Source organism: Homo sapiens, chromosome 12 (genome assembly GCF_000001405.40).
Source record: "Homo sapiens chromosome 12, GRCh38.p14 Primary Assembly".
In the NCBI taxonomy this organism is placed as follows: Eukaryota; Metazoa; Chordata; class Mammalia; order Primates; family Hominidae; genus Homo; species Homo sapiens.
The window spans coordinates 20543111-20559845 of NC_000012.12; the positions used below are offsets into that span (position 1 = coordinate 20543111).

The 16735-nt window shown below is 35.8% G+C and overlaps 1 protein-coding gene and 1 pseudogene across 3 annotated transcripts in view, besides 1 other annotated feature; both read left to right on the top strand.

Moving 5' to 3' along the window:
• PDE3A (phosphodiesterase 3A) overlaps positions 1-16735 on the top strand; it is a 320047-nt gene that overhangs the window by 174574 nt on the left and 128738 nt on the right. For all 3 annotated transcript variants that reach the window (NM_001378408.1, NM_000921.5, NM_001378407.1), the window contains one exon: positions 13550-13600. In NM_001378408.1, coding sequence (NP_001365337.1) covers positions 13553-13600 — 48 coding nt within the window. In that variant the 5' untranslated portion in view covers positions 13550-13552. The remainder of the gene's footprint in view (positions 1-13549; positions 13601-16735) is intronic.
• Positions 8225-8519: a silencer, noted in NCBI's record as "tiled region #11298; K562 Repressive DNase unmatched - State 11:FaireW". NCBI's record gives its function as "represses a minimal TATA promoter and a strong SV40 promoter by Sharpr-MPRA in K562 cells {active_cell/tissue: K562}" and the evidence as "EXISTENCE:reporter gene assay evidence [ECO:0000049][PMID:27701403]".
• LOC728688 (ubiquitin like with PHD and ring finger domains 1 pseudogene) lies at positions 8459-11250 on the top strand (annotated as a pseudogene).

The window sequence follows — 16735 nt, forward strand, 5'->3', positions numbered from 1 at the left end:
ATAGTTAATAAAGTCATAATGCCTTGTTTAAATATTTCATGAGAAAATTGCATTTTGTTTTGTCTACTCAGAACCTAAAATCTGTTTTATTGTGGTTATTTTATAAATATTTGCATGGAATTTTTGGAGTAAGTTTATTTGGTTTGTTTGTTTTTTTTTTAAACAGGCCTAACTATCAATTGCATTGGAAATTTGATTGTGTTTCCAACTAACAAATAATAATACACCTGGAAGTGCAAGTCCTTTCCATATTGAACAGACTCTCTCTAGCTTTTCCTTAGCTGATCTTTTCAAACGTTTGCTATTTGGGCCTCTCTGGCCCCAAAGAGTAGCCTTTTGCTACTCTTTACGCTTGAGGAAGATTAAGCTATCCCAGGCCTCTCATAACCAAGGGGATCCATTAATATTAAAATTTAGATTTTTCCACTGTTAATGCAGAAAACCATTGATTCAGTAGACTTCATGGTCATGCACATGCGTTACATGTTACTCTGAGTAATGCTGCATGAAGTTTTAATTACAGATTGATCAAATTCTATAAATTGTGTTTTGGCGTGGCCAAGGAATGGGTTTTTCCTATTCTAGTTTAATAGAAAGTCATAATATATATCATGTGAATTTTACGTTTCTCAATGAATTAGATTGCAACAATGCCTAAGTTTGATTATATACTTATTAATAGTGATAACAATTATAGCTCACATTTAGTAAGTCCTTACTATGTACCAGGTATATAAGGCTTTTTAAACCTAATGATTCATTTAATGCTTACAAAACCATACAAATTGGATGCTATTATTAGCTAAGTCATGGAGACATGAAACTGAGGCACAAAGACATTATATAACTTGTCAAGATCAAGTATCTGGTAAGACTGAATATCAAGTCAGAATTGGGATTTGAACCAGTCTGGACTCTAGAGCTAACATGCATAACATATAGCCTACACTTTTTAATTATTCAGAAGGTACTTCAAGACTCCTGTGGTGCCTTTGGGTTGGCAGTTTCAGTATTTTTTATGCTTACATAGAGCATAAGATATATAAATATAAAACATTATATATAATATATATTCAAATATATATTTTATATGTGTATATATATTTCCCTAATAAATATTGAAAGAATGCACACATGAATGAGTGGATGGGTGAATACAGAAATGAAAAATTTGTATTGAGATGTGCTAATAGAGAATTTGGTATAACTAAACATCTGATATATAATTTATATTTTGAGGTAACTCTTTAGCCAACATTTTAAAATATGATTAATTTATAGTACTTACGAAGGATTTTCAGAGACATTACATTTTTCTGTTATTTCACTGTTTTAAACAAGATGGAGATTAGAGGGTGGAAAATGGATTCTGGAGAAATAAACCCATCATATTAACTATAACCATGAGTTCCTTGAAGACAAATCAAATCTGATGTCTTTTCTTTCTCCTTATGAATATACTTCAGTACGAAGGACCTGATACTTAGTTTGGACCCAGTAATTATTTATTGTTGTAAGTAGCACAGTAAGAATAAAAACGTTTATGATTTGCAACCAGCCAACCTATATTTTAATCCATATTTAACCACTGGCTGGGTTATGTTACATTTCTCCTCTCTTAACTCATTTCCATATCCATAAAATATGGAGCATATGCCTCTATGGTTTCTTGGTGATGAAATTATGTATTAAAAATTATAAAACTGTAAAAAATATATCTCAAAATGTGTTTGTGTTCCATGGAAAACTGTAAATCTCTCTTGAAACAAAAAAGTTTCTATAATCACATACTTCTAGAAATATTTCATCTGAGTTCCTTTAAAACTTCCTCAAGCTTTAACATGCTAACAGGTACTGGGACTATCCAAGGAGGGATGATATTTTGCAGAATTTCACAAGCTTATTTTACTTTATTACCATTTTTCATAAAATACCTCACAGGAAAACTTAAGCATGAGACTGATGTGATTACATTATTATTAATAGTCTCCAAAATTCAAATTAGCAATAGAAGTTGTAAAAATTTCAAGTAATCAGGATAAACCAGATGTATTAAATGAAAATAATGGAAGCTTTGTAAGATTAGTGGCAGCATATAGGTTTAGAGGAATTATTATCATTGTGATAACAGGGACAGATACAGAATTATGGAAACATTCTAAAGCAGTATATAGGAAGATCATTATCAGAAATAGATAGAGAAATTGTAGTAGAGAGGCTAGAATTTCAAACTCCAGAATATCTGAATTTGCCTCTATCTGAAGCCTTCTCATTCCCAGTGCTTATGAAATTTACACTGGCTGCTATATTGAAATGCTAAGAATCAGAATCAGGGATTTAGTATCAATCAAGTGGATGGAATTTAGCTAGTTATCACCAACTGTGAAAGGAAAAATATCCGTTAAATTCAGTCACAATGCTATATATCAGGCTCTCAGTGATTTTTTAAAGGAGGGTCAATTTTAAGAATTCTAAGGAATCTCTTTGTTCCTGCTAATTTGTCTGAAGGTTTACGAGGAATACAGGAGAAAGCTAAATTGTTTGGGGAACAGTAAGAGATTTAGATTCTGAGAAAGATCCTGGAGGAAAAGCTGGGGCCAGTATGCTGAAAAAGACACAGTCCTCTTGCCCTACCCCAAGAGTAAAGGGCAAGAGGTAGTGGCTGCCAAAAAAAAAAAAACAAAACAAAACAAAACAAAAAAACCTGAAAAAACAAAAAAGTTTTGTGGAGAGATATCGAATGGATATTTATATGGCTTTTTGCTGTATTTTGTATAATGTAATGATGTCCTCTTGTCTCCCCATGAAATCGTCAGTGAAATCAACATCACTTGCTAATACATTGTAGAGTGGGATTGATTTGAGGAGCGGGGAGATGTGATGAAGTAGCTGTAATAGAGGTATTGTGTTTATGAGACTGTGGCTGCTAGTCACATCTGTTTTACCCACACGAGGCTGATGTGGTCTTCTAGTTTGTAAATTATGATATGCAGGCGGTTCCTGCCAGCAGAGATTTAAAAAAAATTATGCAGGTGGGTAAGTCTTTTTCAGCACCACCTGTATTAGGTCTTTCTAGATCCCAAATCCCAGTATTGACGACTGGAGGGCTGATAAACAGTATATGGCAACCCCAGGAATTCTGTTAGCTTCTTTGGCCTAAGCCCCGGACCAAATGCAGACTTCCACTCTTACTTTTCTGAAGAGTGCAAGGTAATTTTGACATTCTTACTCCGTTAATAAGAAGAGACCCAGGAAAGGACCACCAAAAAAAAAAAAGAACAATTTCCCAAAATGACTAGACAGGTGCTGAGACTGGCCTAAACTATCAGAGATCTTCCCAATCCAGAGCACTGACCTCTGCTAGAGCCTGCAGTCAGGGGAGACATACAGTTCAGGCTCATCTTCTCACATGGAATGCTGCAGAGAGCAAATATAGGTAGCATAGAAATTAAGGAAAAAGAGTATGCCAAGGAAAGAATCCAATCAAACATGCCCAGGTTAAAGAAGTGCTTTTAGTTTCTTATCAAATCAAAAACCGTGTGCTCGTCAGAGTAAATGTGGTTCTAAAAGGCAACCCCTGCTCTCATGCATTTTGTGACTCTTGAAAAACAAAACCCATATGTAAAGGGACAATAAAATTGTACTATTTAGTATGACTAATATAAGGGTGTCTTTGTGGCATGTGGTGCATATTCTATAAATTCTTGTTGTATTGAATGGAATTAAGTAAGAGTTTGGGGACAGAAGAATCCCTGGTGTATTAGTATTTCCCTAGATAATTTTTTCTTGTAATTTTGAATTAATGAAGCTAATAATTAACTTGTAGACCAATTTTATACTAAAGGAAAATAGTAAATACCAAATATATAGCTATGATCACAAAGATCCAATCCCTTTTTAAATTTAACATAGAGATGCTTTGCTGCTCCTAAGGTACCATTCCTGCTCCCGCCTCAGAGCCTTTACATCTTCTATTTCCTCTGTCTGGCATGCATTTCCCCCAGGTTTGTGTGTCTGGCTCTTTATACAATTATCTGATAAAATGTCACTTTTTTCAGAAAGGACTTTTTCGATCTACTGTACTTATATAAACTTACCTCTGCTTCCAGCCCCTACCATCCATTACCCCCACTTGTTCTCCCTTCGTTTATTCTATTCTAAGCTTCTTTATAGCTTTATCATCACCTGGTATACTATGTTTCTGTGTTTATCTTCTTCCTTCACTAAAATATAATAGCCAGGAGGCAGAGATACATCTTGTTTTGTTCAATGGCATACAGTTTGTGCCTAGAACAGTGCTTTGCACATAATATGCATACAATACATATTTACTTAATGAGTACATGATGAAATAGAAAGTGGACTGTGTGGTAACCTTTACATCCTTATATGTATATTAGTTTTATATGTCTTCAGAAATATGTTTTAGCCATCTTCAGCTGCTGTAAAAGAATAGTTTTCTTGAGAGTAGTGCAAAGATAACTGTGGTGACTATTACTTTCCATCGTTATCCTCTTTTTTTCATATCTAAAACTTCTCACCTCTTTAAGGTACACACAAATAATAATTTTTTATTTCCCATCTAGTTACAGTCCTCCTTCAGCTTTCATCCCTTTAGTAATAGTTGTGGTGAATTTTTTCTCCCGAGAAGCCCCTAAAAAGGCGTTCATTTTTACGTAAACAAACAACAGGAGAAAAACATATAAACATGAAAGCAAAATATTTTACCTACAGAAATATATTTTCAGCAATCTATTTCTCATGCTATTGTTAAAAATATCTCTGCTTGGATAGAACCTTTTTGTTTCCATGCTGACTTCTTCTTTGCTTCTCCTGTGAACTTTTTAAATTCTGTGTTTGGCAGCAGTTTTGTTTTCCTTGGAGCTAAGTACTGTGTAACATACTGTTAGCTGAAGGCTGTGATGTAGAAATTTATTATTAAAAATAAAAGACGGAGAGAAGAATTTATTCCATAAGGATCAAAATGACTTAGTGTCAAAGCAGTTAGGATTTTCAAAATGCTTTCTATAACAGATTGTGTTTCTTTTCAAGGAAGTTTACTTTGTTTGCCAGGAATAAATTTAAGGGTCTTCATTGTGCCTATCTTGGTTAATGAGAACTGAGAAGAGAAGAAACATTCTCTTTTAAAAAAAATTTTTTTTAGAGAATTTCTTCATCAGACGGAAAGATTTTATTTGCCATTTGCAGGCATAACCTTGGTGACCTATATATCCCCAGACCTTCTGGTAAGATGCTTATTAAAATGTCATTACCCAGAGGAGTAATCATAAACTAGCCAGAGGGTATTTTTTATAGATGGTGAGAGACAAACATTTTTTTTCTCCCTGAATTAAGTAGTTATGTACTCTTATCAACTAGAATATATTTAAACTTACTTTTATTTATTTTTCCAGTCTCAATCTCTCCCTCTCTGTTTTATGTTTCTAGCAACTTTATGTAACTAATCTTAAAATCATTAGCATTCCTTCTCCAAAAAGAGTATCATATCATCTTAATAAAGTTTCTCTTTTCCCAGAATTGCTTAAGTAGCATGCTGCTATTCATTTCTCTTGAAAGTTTAGTCAAAATGAATTATTTTGCAAAAAGGAAAATTCCACAGTTTCTATTTCTTTTCCTCATTGTCTGTGGCCCATTAACGTCTTTTATCTGCTACTATGATAATGTCAAATGATTACTTTGGTCATCTGCAACTTAACACTAATCTTATCTGTTTAATTGAAAGGATGTTTTGACTTTCTCTTTGAAATAATATCAACATCATTTTGCACTTAATTCTGAAATTCATTGACCTCAATGTGCAAGCTGTCTTCTTTACTATTTATTGTGAATAACCATTTTTTTTTATTTGTTGTAATCACACATCAAGAAAGGGCTAGGGAGATGTCTTTGTGAAACATTTATCCCTATGGTTCTGTTTAATAGGAGTACTTACCAGTAGCTAAATGCCTCATTTTATTTTAAATAATCTGTAATATTAAGTCAGTTTATCACACTATGAGTAGTTTTTTTTAATGGATTCTGACAATATGCTGCTTATTGTAGTCTTTCATCCTTTATCTGAGAACTATGTTTTTATGACAGTAAAATATTTTTTATACAAATAGGATAAAAATTCATATGCTGTCATGCGCTAATATGAAGTTTATCCTTACATCTCCCACTCTCCACCCCATGCCCCATCTAGTGGCCAGAATGCTGTAATCGTGGGAAGGAATAAAGCTCTGACACTATGCAGTCCCTACCCCCATCATTGCCTCTTTCTTTGCATTAAAAAAAAAAAAAAGAAAATACACTGAAATAATAAATGCTAAATTTTGGCTCAGATTATTTTAATTAGAAATGGAAGTTTAATGATAAACACTTTGTATTCTTCAAATCCAAAAGGAGAAATATCCTGTTTACTTCCTTTGGTGCTCTTATTGACTGTAGAACATTACAGTATCTCATTTGTCATATGCAGAGTTCATTCTTTTTGAATATATTTCACATAGGATGTAGATTTCTGTAACATTTTTTATTACTTTGAAAAAAGTAGCCATAGTGTACATTTTAAAATACTACCACATTCTTGGTCAGCTCATACCTTTCAAATATAATATAAAGATGATATTAATATATAAATAAGAATGGAAAAGAATTTCTTTGCCCTGCATATTTCTCAGTTTGTTATATAATGCTAGGAAATAACTCTCTGATACATAACACACTTGGCAAATTTTACTGTTTTATGCTTTAAAAGAAAAAGTCAAATTTAGATAGTGAATTTTTTGAAATGCATCTTACAAGCTCTGATTTGCAAATTACCAAATTGATCTTATCTTCTGGAGTAAATGATGACCCAAATTAGTCTACATTTTGAGTGTTTTTGTTCTTTGACTAAAATCGTCATCGTTAAGATAATTAATGGCAGAAGGCAGTGAATTACATGCTTTCCTCATTTTAATTCTGGTCCTACAAAAATGTTTCCTTTTTGACTTACTGTCATCATGAAATATTCTCTCTTAAATCAATATATTGTGGATTATAACTTGTGTTTGTAAGATTTATTTACCTCTTTTAGTTGTGATAGGAGAATTTACCACCTTATTTTGATCCTGTTAGTTTAAACTCATTAGCAAGGAGGATAACAGTGTTAATAGTCAGCATTTTGTAAATCTTCCAGAAGATTTTGATAAATCATTTCACTAGAAGCCTATTGCTCAATTTATTGCCACTTTAAAGTTGCCAAAAATAATGAGCTCATCTTCCTATTTTAATGTAAGGTATTGTCAATGTTTGAAATGTGTCAAGAATTGTTTTTGATAGTTCTAGTGAACAACTAATGTTTCTAAATCATACTACTTATTTCATTAGTTAATTATTGCTTGTGAACCATATTATAATCATCTTTAGTATCAATAAATATTTTTGAGATGATATAATGCCAGTAAATCCATAAATTAAAAAATTAAAGCATTAAAGAAATATCTACTATGTAAGCATTCAATTTTATATAATGATTATCTGGGTCAGTGTACCCAAAATTGTGTGCTAGCCAAACTACAATTAAATCATCATGATAATTCCAAGGCTTAAAACAATTGACTATGTCTGTTAAAAATGAGTAGCTTAAAATTCATTAAATTACTTTGTTATGTTTTTTACCTATTATACTGTGAACATTTCACATGTTCTTTTTTATAAAGGCCTTGGAAGCCAAATTTTAATTGCTCTATGGTATCATTTTGTATACCGTAATCTATTGAGTAATTTCCCTTTTGTTGGATAAACAATTAGTAGCACATTATAGTTACTGGATTTTTAGATCTTAGTTTACTGGTTCAAAGGGTATGAATTTTTAATAATATATGTATTATATATATTTTATATGTGTGTAAATATATATATACAATGTGTATAAATATATATTTGTTATATAGTAGCAATATATATGCTTAGTTTACTCCCTGTTTTCCAAATATTCAACATTATTAATTTGCAAATATAATAGGCAATAGTAGTATCTTGTCATTGTTTATATTGAATTTCTTTTACTTCCAATAAAGTTAAATGTCTTTCCATAGATCTATTTATTTTGTAAGTTGTTCTCACTCTTCCCTCAGTTTTTTACTAGGGTTGGGATTCTTTCAAATTTGTAAGAACCCTTGATATCTTGAAGATATTATTCTTTACCTAAGTTTACTACAGATATTTTACCAATGTGACATTTGTGCAAATACTCTAAAGTTTTATATAGCCAGATCAATTTGTCCTCTTTTGTAATAAAAAAAAAAAGTCTTTAAAAAAAGATTTACGGACAGGATTGACAGATTGATAGCTCTTTCTCGATTCCGTGGGTGGTGGTGCATGGCCGTTCTTAGTTGGTGGAGCGATTTGTCTGGTTAATTCCGATAACGAACGAGACTCTGGCATGCTAACTAGTTACGCGACCCCCGAGCGGGTCTGCGCCTGCCACCTGTGCGGGGGCCGGCAGGACCCCGACAAGCAGCTCATGTGCGATGAGTGCGACATGGCCTTCCACATCTACTGCCTGGACCCGCCCCTCAGCAGTGTTCCCAGCGAGGACGAGTGGTACTGCCCTGAGTGCCGGAATGATGCCAGCGAGGTGGTACTGGCGGGAGAGCGGCTGAGAGAGAGCAAGAAGAAGGCGAAGATGGCCTCGGCCACATCGTCCTCACAGCGGGACTGGGACAAGGGCATGGCCTGTGTGGGCCGCACCAAGGAATGTACCATCATCCCGTCCAACCACTACGGACCCATCCCGGGGATCCCCGTGGGCACCATGTGGCGGTTCCGAGTCCAGGTCAGCGAGTCGGGTGTCCATCGGCCCCACGTGGCTGGCATCCATGGCCGGAGCAACGACGGAGCGTACTCCCTAGTCCTGGCGGGGGGCTACGAGGATGACGTGGACCATGGGAATTTTTTCACATACACGGGTAGTGGTGGTCGAGAGCTTTCCGGCAACAAGAGGACCGCGGAACAGTCTTGTGATCAGAAACTCACCAACACCAACAGGGCGCTGGCTCTCAACTGCTTTGCTCCCATCAATGACCAAGAAGGGGCCGAGGCCAAGGACTGGCGGTCGGGGAAGCCGGTCAGGGTGGTGCGCAATGTCAAGGGTGGCAAGAATAGCAAGTACGCCCCCGCTGAGGGCAACCGCTACGATGGCATCTACAAGGTTGTGAAATACTGGCCCGAGAAGGGGAAGTCCGGGTTTCTCGTGTGGCGCTACCTTCTGCGGAGGGACGATGATGAGCCCGGCCCTTGGACGAAGGAGGGGAAGGACCGGATCAAGAAGCTGGGGCTGACCATGCAGTATCCAGAAGGCTACCTGGAAGCCCTGGCCAACCGAGAGCGAGAGAAGGAGAACAGCAAGAGGGAGGAGGAGGAGCAGCAGGAGGGGGGCTTCGCGTCCCCCAGGACGGGCAAGGGCAAGTGGAAGCGGAAGTCGGCAGGAGGTGGCCCGAGCAGGGCCGGGTCCCCGCGCCGGACATCCAAGAAAACCAAGGTGGAGCCCTACAGTCTCACGGCCCAGCAGAGCAGCCTCATCAGAGAGGACAAGAGCAACGCCAAGCTGTGGAATGAGGTCCTGGCGTCACTCAAGGACCGGCCGGCGAGCGGCAGCCCGTTCCAGTTGTTCCTGAGTAAAGTGGAGGAGACGTTCCAGTGTATCTGCTGTCAGGAGCTGGTGTTCCGGCCCATCACGACCGTGTGCCAGCACAACGTGTGCAAGGACTGCCTGGACAGATCCTTTCGGGCACAGGTGTTCAGCTGCCCTGCCTGCCGCTACGACCTGGGCCGCAGCTATGCCATGCAGGTGAACCAGCCTCTGCAGACCGTCCTCAACCAGCTCTTCCCCGGCTACGGCAATGGCCGGTGATCTCCAAGCACTTCTCGACAGGCGTTTTGCTGAAAACGTGTCGGAGGGCTCGTTCATCGGCACTGATTTTGTTCTTAGTGGGCTTAACTTAAACAGGTAGTGTTTCCTCCGTTCCCTAAAAAGGTTTGTCTTCCTTTTTTTTTTTTTATTTTTATTTTTCAAATCTATACATTTTCAGGAATTTATGTATTCTGGCTAAAAGTTGGACTTCTCAGTATTGTGTTTAGTTCTTTGAAAACATAAAAGCCTGCAATTTCTCGACAAAACAACACAAGATTTTTTAAAGATGGAATCAGAAACTACGTGGTGTGGAGGCTGTTGATGTTTCTGGTGTCAAGTTCTCAGAAGTTGCTGCCACCAACTCTTTAAGAAGGCGACAGGATCAGTCCTTCTCTCGGGTTCTGGCCCCCAAGGTCAGAGCAAGCATCTTCCTGACAGCATTTTGTCATCTAAAGTCCAGTGACATGGTTCCCCGTGGTGGCCCGTGGCAGCCCGTGGCATGGCGTGGCTCAGCTGTCTGTTGAAGTTGTTGCAAGGAAAAGAGGAAACATCTCGGGCCTAGTTCAAACCTTTGCCTCAAAGCCATCCCCCACCAGACTGCTTAGCGTCTGAGATCCGCGTGAAAAGTCCTCTGCCCACGAGAGCAGGGAGTTGGGGCCACGCAGAAATGGCCTCAAGGGGACTCCGCTCCACGTGGGGCCAGGCGTGTGGCTGACGCTGTCCGACGAAGGCGGCCACGGACGGACGCCAGCACATGAAGTCACGTGCAAGTGCCTTTGATTCGTTCCTTCTTTCTAAAGACGACAGTCTTTGTTGTTAGCACTGAATTATTGAAAATGTCAACCAGATTCTAGAAACTGCGGTCATCCAGTTCTTCCTGACACCGGATGGGTGCTTGGGAACCGTTTGAGCCTTATAGATCATTTACATTCAATTTTTTTAACTCAGCAAGTGAGAACTTACAAGAGGGTTTTTTTTTTAATTTTTTTTTCTCTTAATGAACACATTTTCTAAATGAATTTTTTTGTAGTTACTGTATATGTACCAAGAAAGATATAACGTTAGGGTTTGGTTGTTTTTGTTTTTGTATTTTTTTTTTGAAAGGGTTTGTTAATTTTTCTAATTTTACCAAAGTTTGCAGCCTATACCTCAATAAAACAGGGATATTTTAAATCACATACCTGCAGACAAACTGGAGCAATGTTATTTTTAAAGGGTTTTTTTTCACCTCCTTATTCTTAGATTATTAATGTATTAGGGAAGAATGAGACAATTTTGTGTAGGCTTTTTCTAAAGTCCAGTACTTTGTCCAGATTTTAGATTCTCAGAATAAATGTTTTTCACAGATAAAAAAAAAAAAATAAAAAAAATAAAAAAAGATTTAGATTTATTTAATTTTTTTTTTATTTCCCAAGATAGGTTGAGTATTTACCTGGATTTTATTCTATTTTATATTTACAGTTTTGTCTTTTTAAAAATTTGTCTTTTAAATCTATAATTAATATTACCATTTATTATAAGGTTAGGCTTTAATTATTTTTTACCCTCAAAAGTCTATTTTTCTTTTTCTTTCTTTTTTTTTTCTTTTTTTGTGAGACAGGGTGTCACTCTGTCATTCAGGCTGGAGTGCAGCAGCGCGATCTCAGCTCACTGCAATCTTGGCCTTTCAGGTTCAAGCGATTCTCCTGCCTCAACCTCCCAAGTAGCTGGGATTATAGGCGTGCCCCACCACGCCCACCTAATTTTTGTATTTTTAGTAGAGAAGGGGTTTCACCATGTTGGCCAGGCTGGTCATGAACTCCTTTTTTTCATTAGTTGAATAATTCATCAAATACAAAATATTTTTGATGTTTTCTTGCTTATATTTTGTTAGCACACATACGTATATTTATTCCAAATTATTTCATTCATTTGCATTTTTAATGCTAAACCATTATCCCCAAATTTGGTTAAGTTTTATAATATATCTTAATAACCAGAAAGGTATTTTCATCACTTGTAACATTTTCTAATGGATTCCTTTCTTTTGAGATGGAGTCTCACTTTGTCTCCCAGGCTGGAGTGCAGTGGCGTGCGATCTTGGGTCACTGCAACCTCTGCCTCCCAGGTTCAAGCAATTCCCCCGCCTCAACCTCCCAAGTAGCTGGGGCTACAGGTGCACACTACCACGCCTGGCTAATTTTTGTACTTTTAGTAGAGACAGGGTTGACCCGTCTGGTCTCGAACTCCTCACCACAGGAAATCCGCCCGCCTTGGCTTCCCTAAATACTAGGATTACAGGCATAAGCCACTGCGCCCCGGCCTCTAATGGATTCTTTTTTATTGTATATACTTGAGGTGTACAACATAATATTTTGATGTATATTTACAATGTAAAGTAATTACTAAGGTCAAGTAAATTAACATCGATCGTCTCTCATAGTTTTAACTTTGTGTTTGGTGAAATCACCGAAAATCTACCCTCTTAGCAAACTTCAGCACACTGTATAACATCATGAGGTATAGTTCTCATATTCTGCGTTGTATCGCTACACTTATTCATCTGACATAACTGATTATATATGTTTATACTCTCCAATGAAATTTATATTCTTTCAAAATTAAAAATACTGTTAGCTTTTGATTGAAATCTAGTTAAACCTGAAATCTAGTTAAATTTGTTTGAGTAGAATTGAGCACTCAATAGTTTATAGAATTAAGTCTTCTTTACCAGTAGCACTGTATGTCTTCAGTAAACTTTTACCATTTTCTGTATATGGTTATCAAACATTTCTTGATAATATTCAAAGGCATATTATTTTTGTTGCTATTGTGAACAGTTGTTTGTTGTTAAGTCTACTTAGGAGTCATTGCTGCTATACAGAAAAGCTAATAACGTACATAAATTCATTTATAGTCCATCTTATTGGTGTGCTAGCTTATTAGCTGTAAATACTTCTTCAGCTGGTACTGATGACTAATAAGATTACTGACAGATGAATGGAGTTTCATTTCTCTGAGTCAATATCTTTTATTTCCTTAATATTCTTAATGTTAAATGTTATTTTCAATAAGTAAATATTCTTCTTTGTAAGCAAGGTAGCTCAGGGCTATTACCACCATAGGAATAACGTGATGATATTTTATAGGTTATTATTAAAAATCTACGTTTTGTGACTATGTGGGCATATTTCATATTAAATATTTAATAATTTTACTCTTTAGAACTCTCAAGATTTTTATAGTTTTGAAGGAGGATTAAAAATTATTGAACTGATTTGGCCTTCTGGTTCTTATCATTTGCGGCAGTAGATTTAACTGCAGTAGTCATTTACCCAGAATATTTTCTTAAAAAGCTAAAGGCTTAATAATATGCAAATAAAGCTTTACATGGTTTAACATCTATCTAGGATGTTCCTGACAGAGCTACACAGTAGCTTCTTTTATCACACAGTGATATTAAAATACTCTCAAAATGATTAGAAGTTGAAATATTAGCTATCAAACCAGGAGTTTGCTACTAATTTAGGTATGTTAATTTATTCATGATAGCTATTTAATATATTACTAATAAAGATTGGAACAACCTGATTATTCTTTAAAATAAAGAAGAAAAATGTTTGTCAGGTAAAATAATCATTTAACTTATTATAATTTTCATCTTTCCAGCTCATGGGGCATTCAGAATGGGACCACAAACGAGGGCCAAGAGGATCACAGGTAAGTTTCTTTTCCTTTTCTTTTTCACGTTTCGTTTCGTAACACTTTCAGCCACGGGTTTTCTAAAACTCAAGAGATAATAAAATGTGGAGCGAGGAAGAGGCAAAATAACCATGCCATTTGTTTTTATTTAAGTTAACTATAATTAAAGTCTGGATTTCAAATCCCAAAGGCAGATGCCAGGATATTCCTTCTAAGAGCTTTCTGGTATCCCAGATTGGTTGTGTTTATATGAATATAGATTTTATATTCATCTTGTCTCGGCAGAATACATTTTGATCAGCAACCCACTCTCTTTATTCATTTCCTTTGACAATTTTTCCGTGTATTTTCTTTTTTCTTCAGCTTCCTGTTTTTGGTTAAATATTTTGAAATATAATCAGACTAAACTCTGAACTAATTACAAGATTTTGTCTCTAAATTAACTCTCTTCATCTGAGGGAAACAGAAAGATGAAAGGACCTATTATTTTTGAAAAGAAACAAATTCTAAGTCTTTCTATATTACCAGAGTGTTTTCATTGTCTTGCTTTATGTCTTAGGCAAAGAGAAAAGCTTCCATGACGCATTTATGCTTTTTAATGACCTAATTAGACAATGTGGATTTGTTTTGCTTTCATAATTACTTTCCCTGATGGAATAAAGGCTGAGCTTTACACTGAGAAAATTATTTCTCCTCCTAGAGCACTTTGTGAAGAAATGTAAAAATAATTTCTCTCATGGCAGGCTATGGTTACCTGACTGTAAACATGCAAAATAAAAATTAAGTGGGTGGAAATTTTTGCTTCTATTGCACACATTTTGCATTTGCTACTAAAAAATATATAAATTACAAAGGGCAGTTGAATGTGCAATACTGTAAATGAAAGTTCATTGGAAAGTGGGGGCTTCTCCCAAGTGTTTACAAAGCTGATTTGTTCTTGTGTTGTCATTAAACTTGTGTGAATAACTCTACTTAATTCCGGTCACTAGGAAAACAAAACCAAGTCAATCAATTGTTTTAGTTCACATTTTAATGACTGATTTTATTTCTGTCCAGTATCAATTTGATTAGTAAATAATGTAAACCAATTAAATTAGGATCATCTAAAAGAATTTATGCCTTACTTTATTTCCCTCATTTTTATCTCCCCTTCATTTTCTCTGAAAACTCTTCCTCTGTACACATCTATAAAATTTTAAATCAAAATTTGCTGCAAGGTCAGTAATGAAGGGATTAAATTAACATAGAGTAAATTCTTCATGATTCGAAACCAGTAAAAATGTAAAGATAAGTGCAAATAAGAAGGTCCATGGTTTCTGATGATTGCCACCAAAACATTTTGATATTCAAAACATGCCAAGCAAGTTGTTGAGGACATGTCTCTTCAAAGCAAGGTAGTGTTATATATAGAAAATTATTGTTTAAGATATACATCATTTACTCTCTATTTTGCTTACTTTGGTATAATTTATCTTCAGGTTTAGATTGGTCACTATGTCAATATAAATTGACAAAAAAAAAAAACCTCACAATTGTACAGTATGGTTTTTGTTAACTTTCAGTATAAAAAGGACAAAATTTTTAAAATTCCAAATATTGCATATAGCTAGAAAATGTGAGAATTCCACATATAAACAAAAGCTATTTTCATAAATAAAATTTGATTATATTTGAAAGCCTGAGGTGGTTCTAAAAAGCAAAAGCATTAAAATCGGCTTGCATGAATTACCATTATCAACATCAAGTCTTTTTTGGATCTCTTAACCAGCAAAATAGCTATTCTAAATATAGTATACCTTTGTCCCATTTTGATTCCTCAACTCAGATGAAAACTGTCAAAGTAAAAAACAAACACAACACACCAAAAGATAAGAACAATAAGAACCATAGCAAAAAACATTAAAAAGAAAGAGAATTTCCAAAGAATTTGGAAATTTCAGGTAGATAAATTAAGTCTTAAGTAATAACCTCTTATCTGATTTCAATTCCCTGCTGACGAAATAATAATAATAATAATAATAATAATAACAATAATGTTTTCATGTTTTGGATAATTGATCCCTTCTTTTATTGCTATTATCTCCTTGGTCAATATGTCTAAAGCCTTCCAGCTTTTCAAGGGGAACTTCAGACAAGTTGCACTTGAACACAGACCTCTTAATAGTTTACTCCAAAGCCTTGCTCAAGTCCCATCTTAGTTAATTTAGAACTGGTTTCTAAGCACTTCCTATGTTTACAGCACTGTGGTGGGTCTAACTGAAGACAACTGAAAAGACAAGTATACTGCTTTCCAAGAGCTCACAAATTATGGTTGGAAATACAGCAATATTTGTATATATAATTCACATATAAGGCAATCTGATAGACGCAACATTACATACAGTATGTGGTGCATGATGACATATCTGTGAATGACAGTATATATGATGGTGGTCACATAAAATTATAATACCATGTTTTCAGTATGCCTTTTCTATGTTTAGATACACAAATACCATTTGTTACAATTGCCTACATTTTTCAGTACAGTGACATGCTGCACAGATTTGTAGCCTAGTAACAATAGGCTACAGCATATAGCCTAGGTGTATAATAGGCTATACCATCTGGTTTGTGTAAGTATACTCTATGATGTTCCCACAACAAAATCCCCATCATTAAGTGACATATATACAAAGTGTAATAAGACTATATATATATATTGGGAGGCCGAGGCAGGCAGATCACCAGAGGTCAGGAGTTTGAGACCAGCCTGTCCAACATGGTGAAACCCCGTCTCCACTAAAAATACAAATAATGATAATAATAATAATAATAATAGTAATAATAATAAGCCAGGCATGATGGTGGGTTCTGTAATCCCAGATACTCGGGAGGTTGAGACAGGAGAATCTCTTGAACCCTGGAGGCGGAGGTTGCAGTGAGCCAAGATCATGCCACTGCACTCCAGCCTGGGCAACAGAACGAGACCCCATATCAAAAAAAAAAAGACTGCATATATACAAAGTGAGATAGGATTTAGGTGGAAGAGTATTTCTTACTCCCTAGTAGACTAGGAAATACCTCTGAGAAGTGATGATGTCTGAGGTGTGGCTTTAAGGATGGGTAAGCTTTCGAAAGTACAGAGGAAAAGGTGGATGAAAAAGCTTTGGT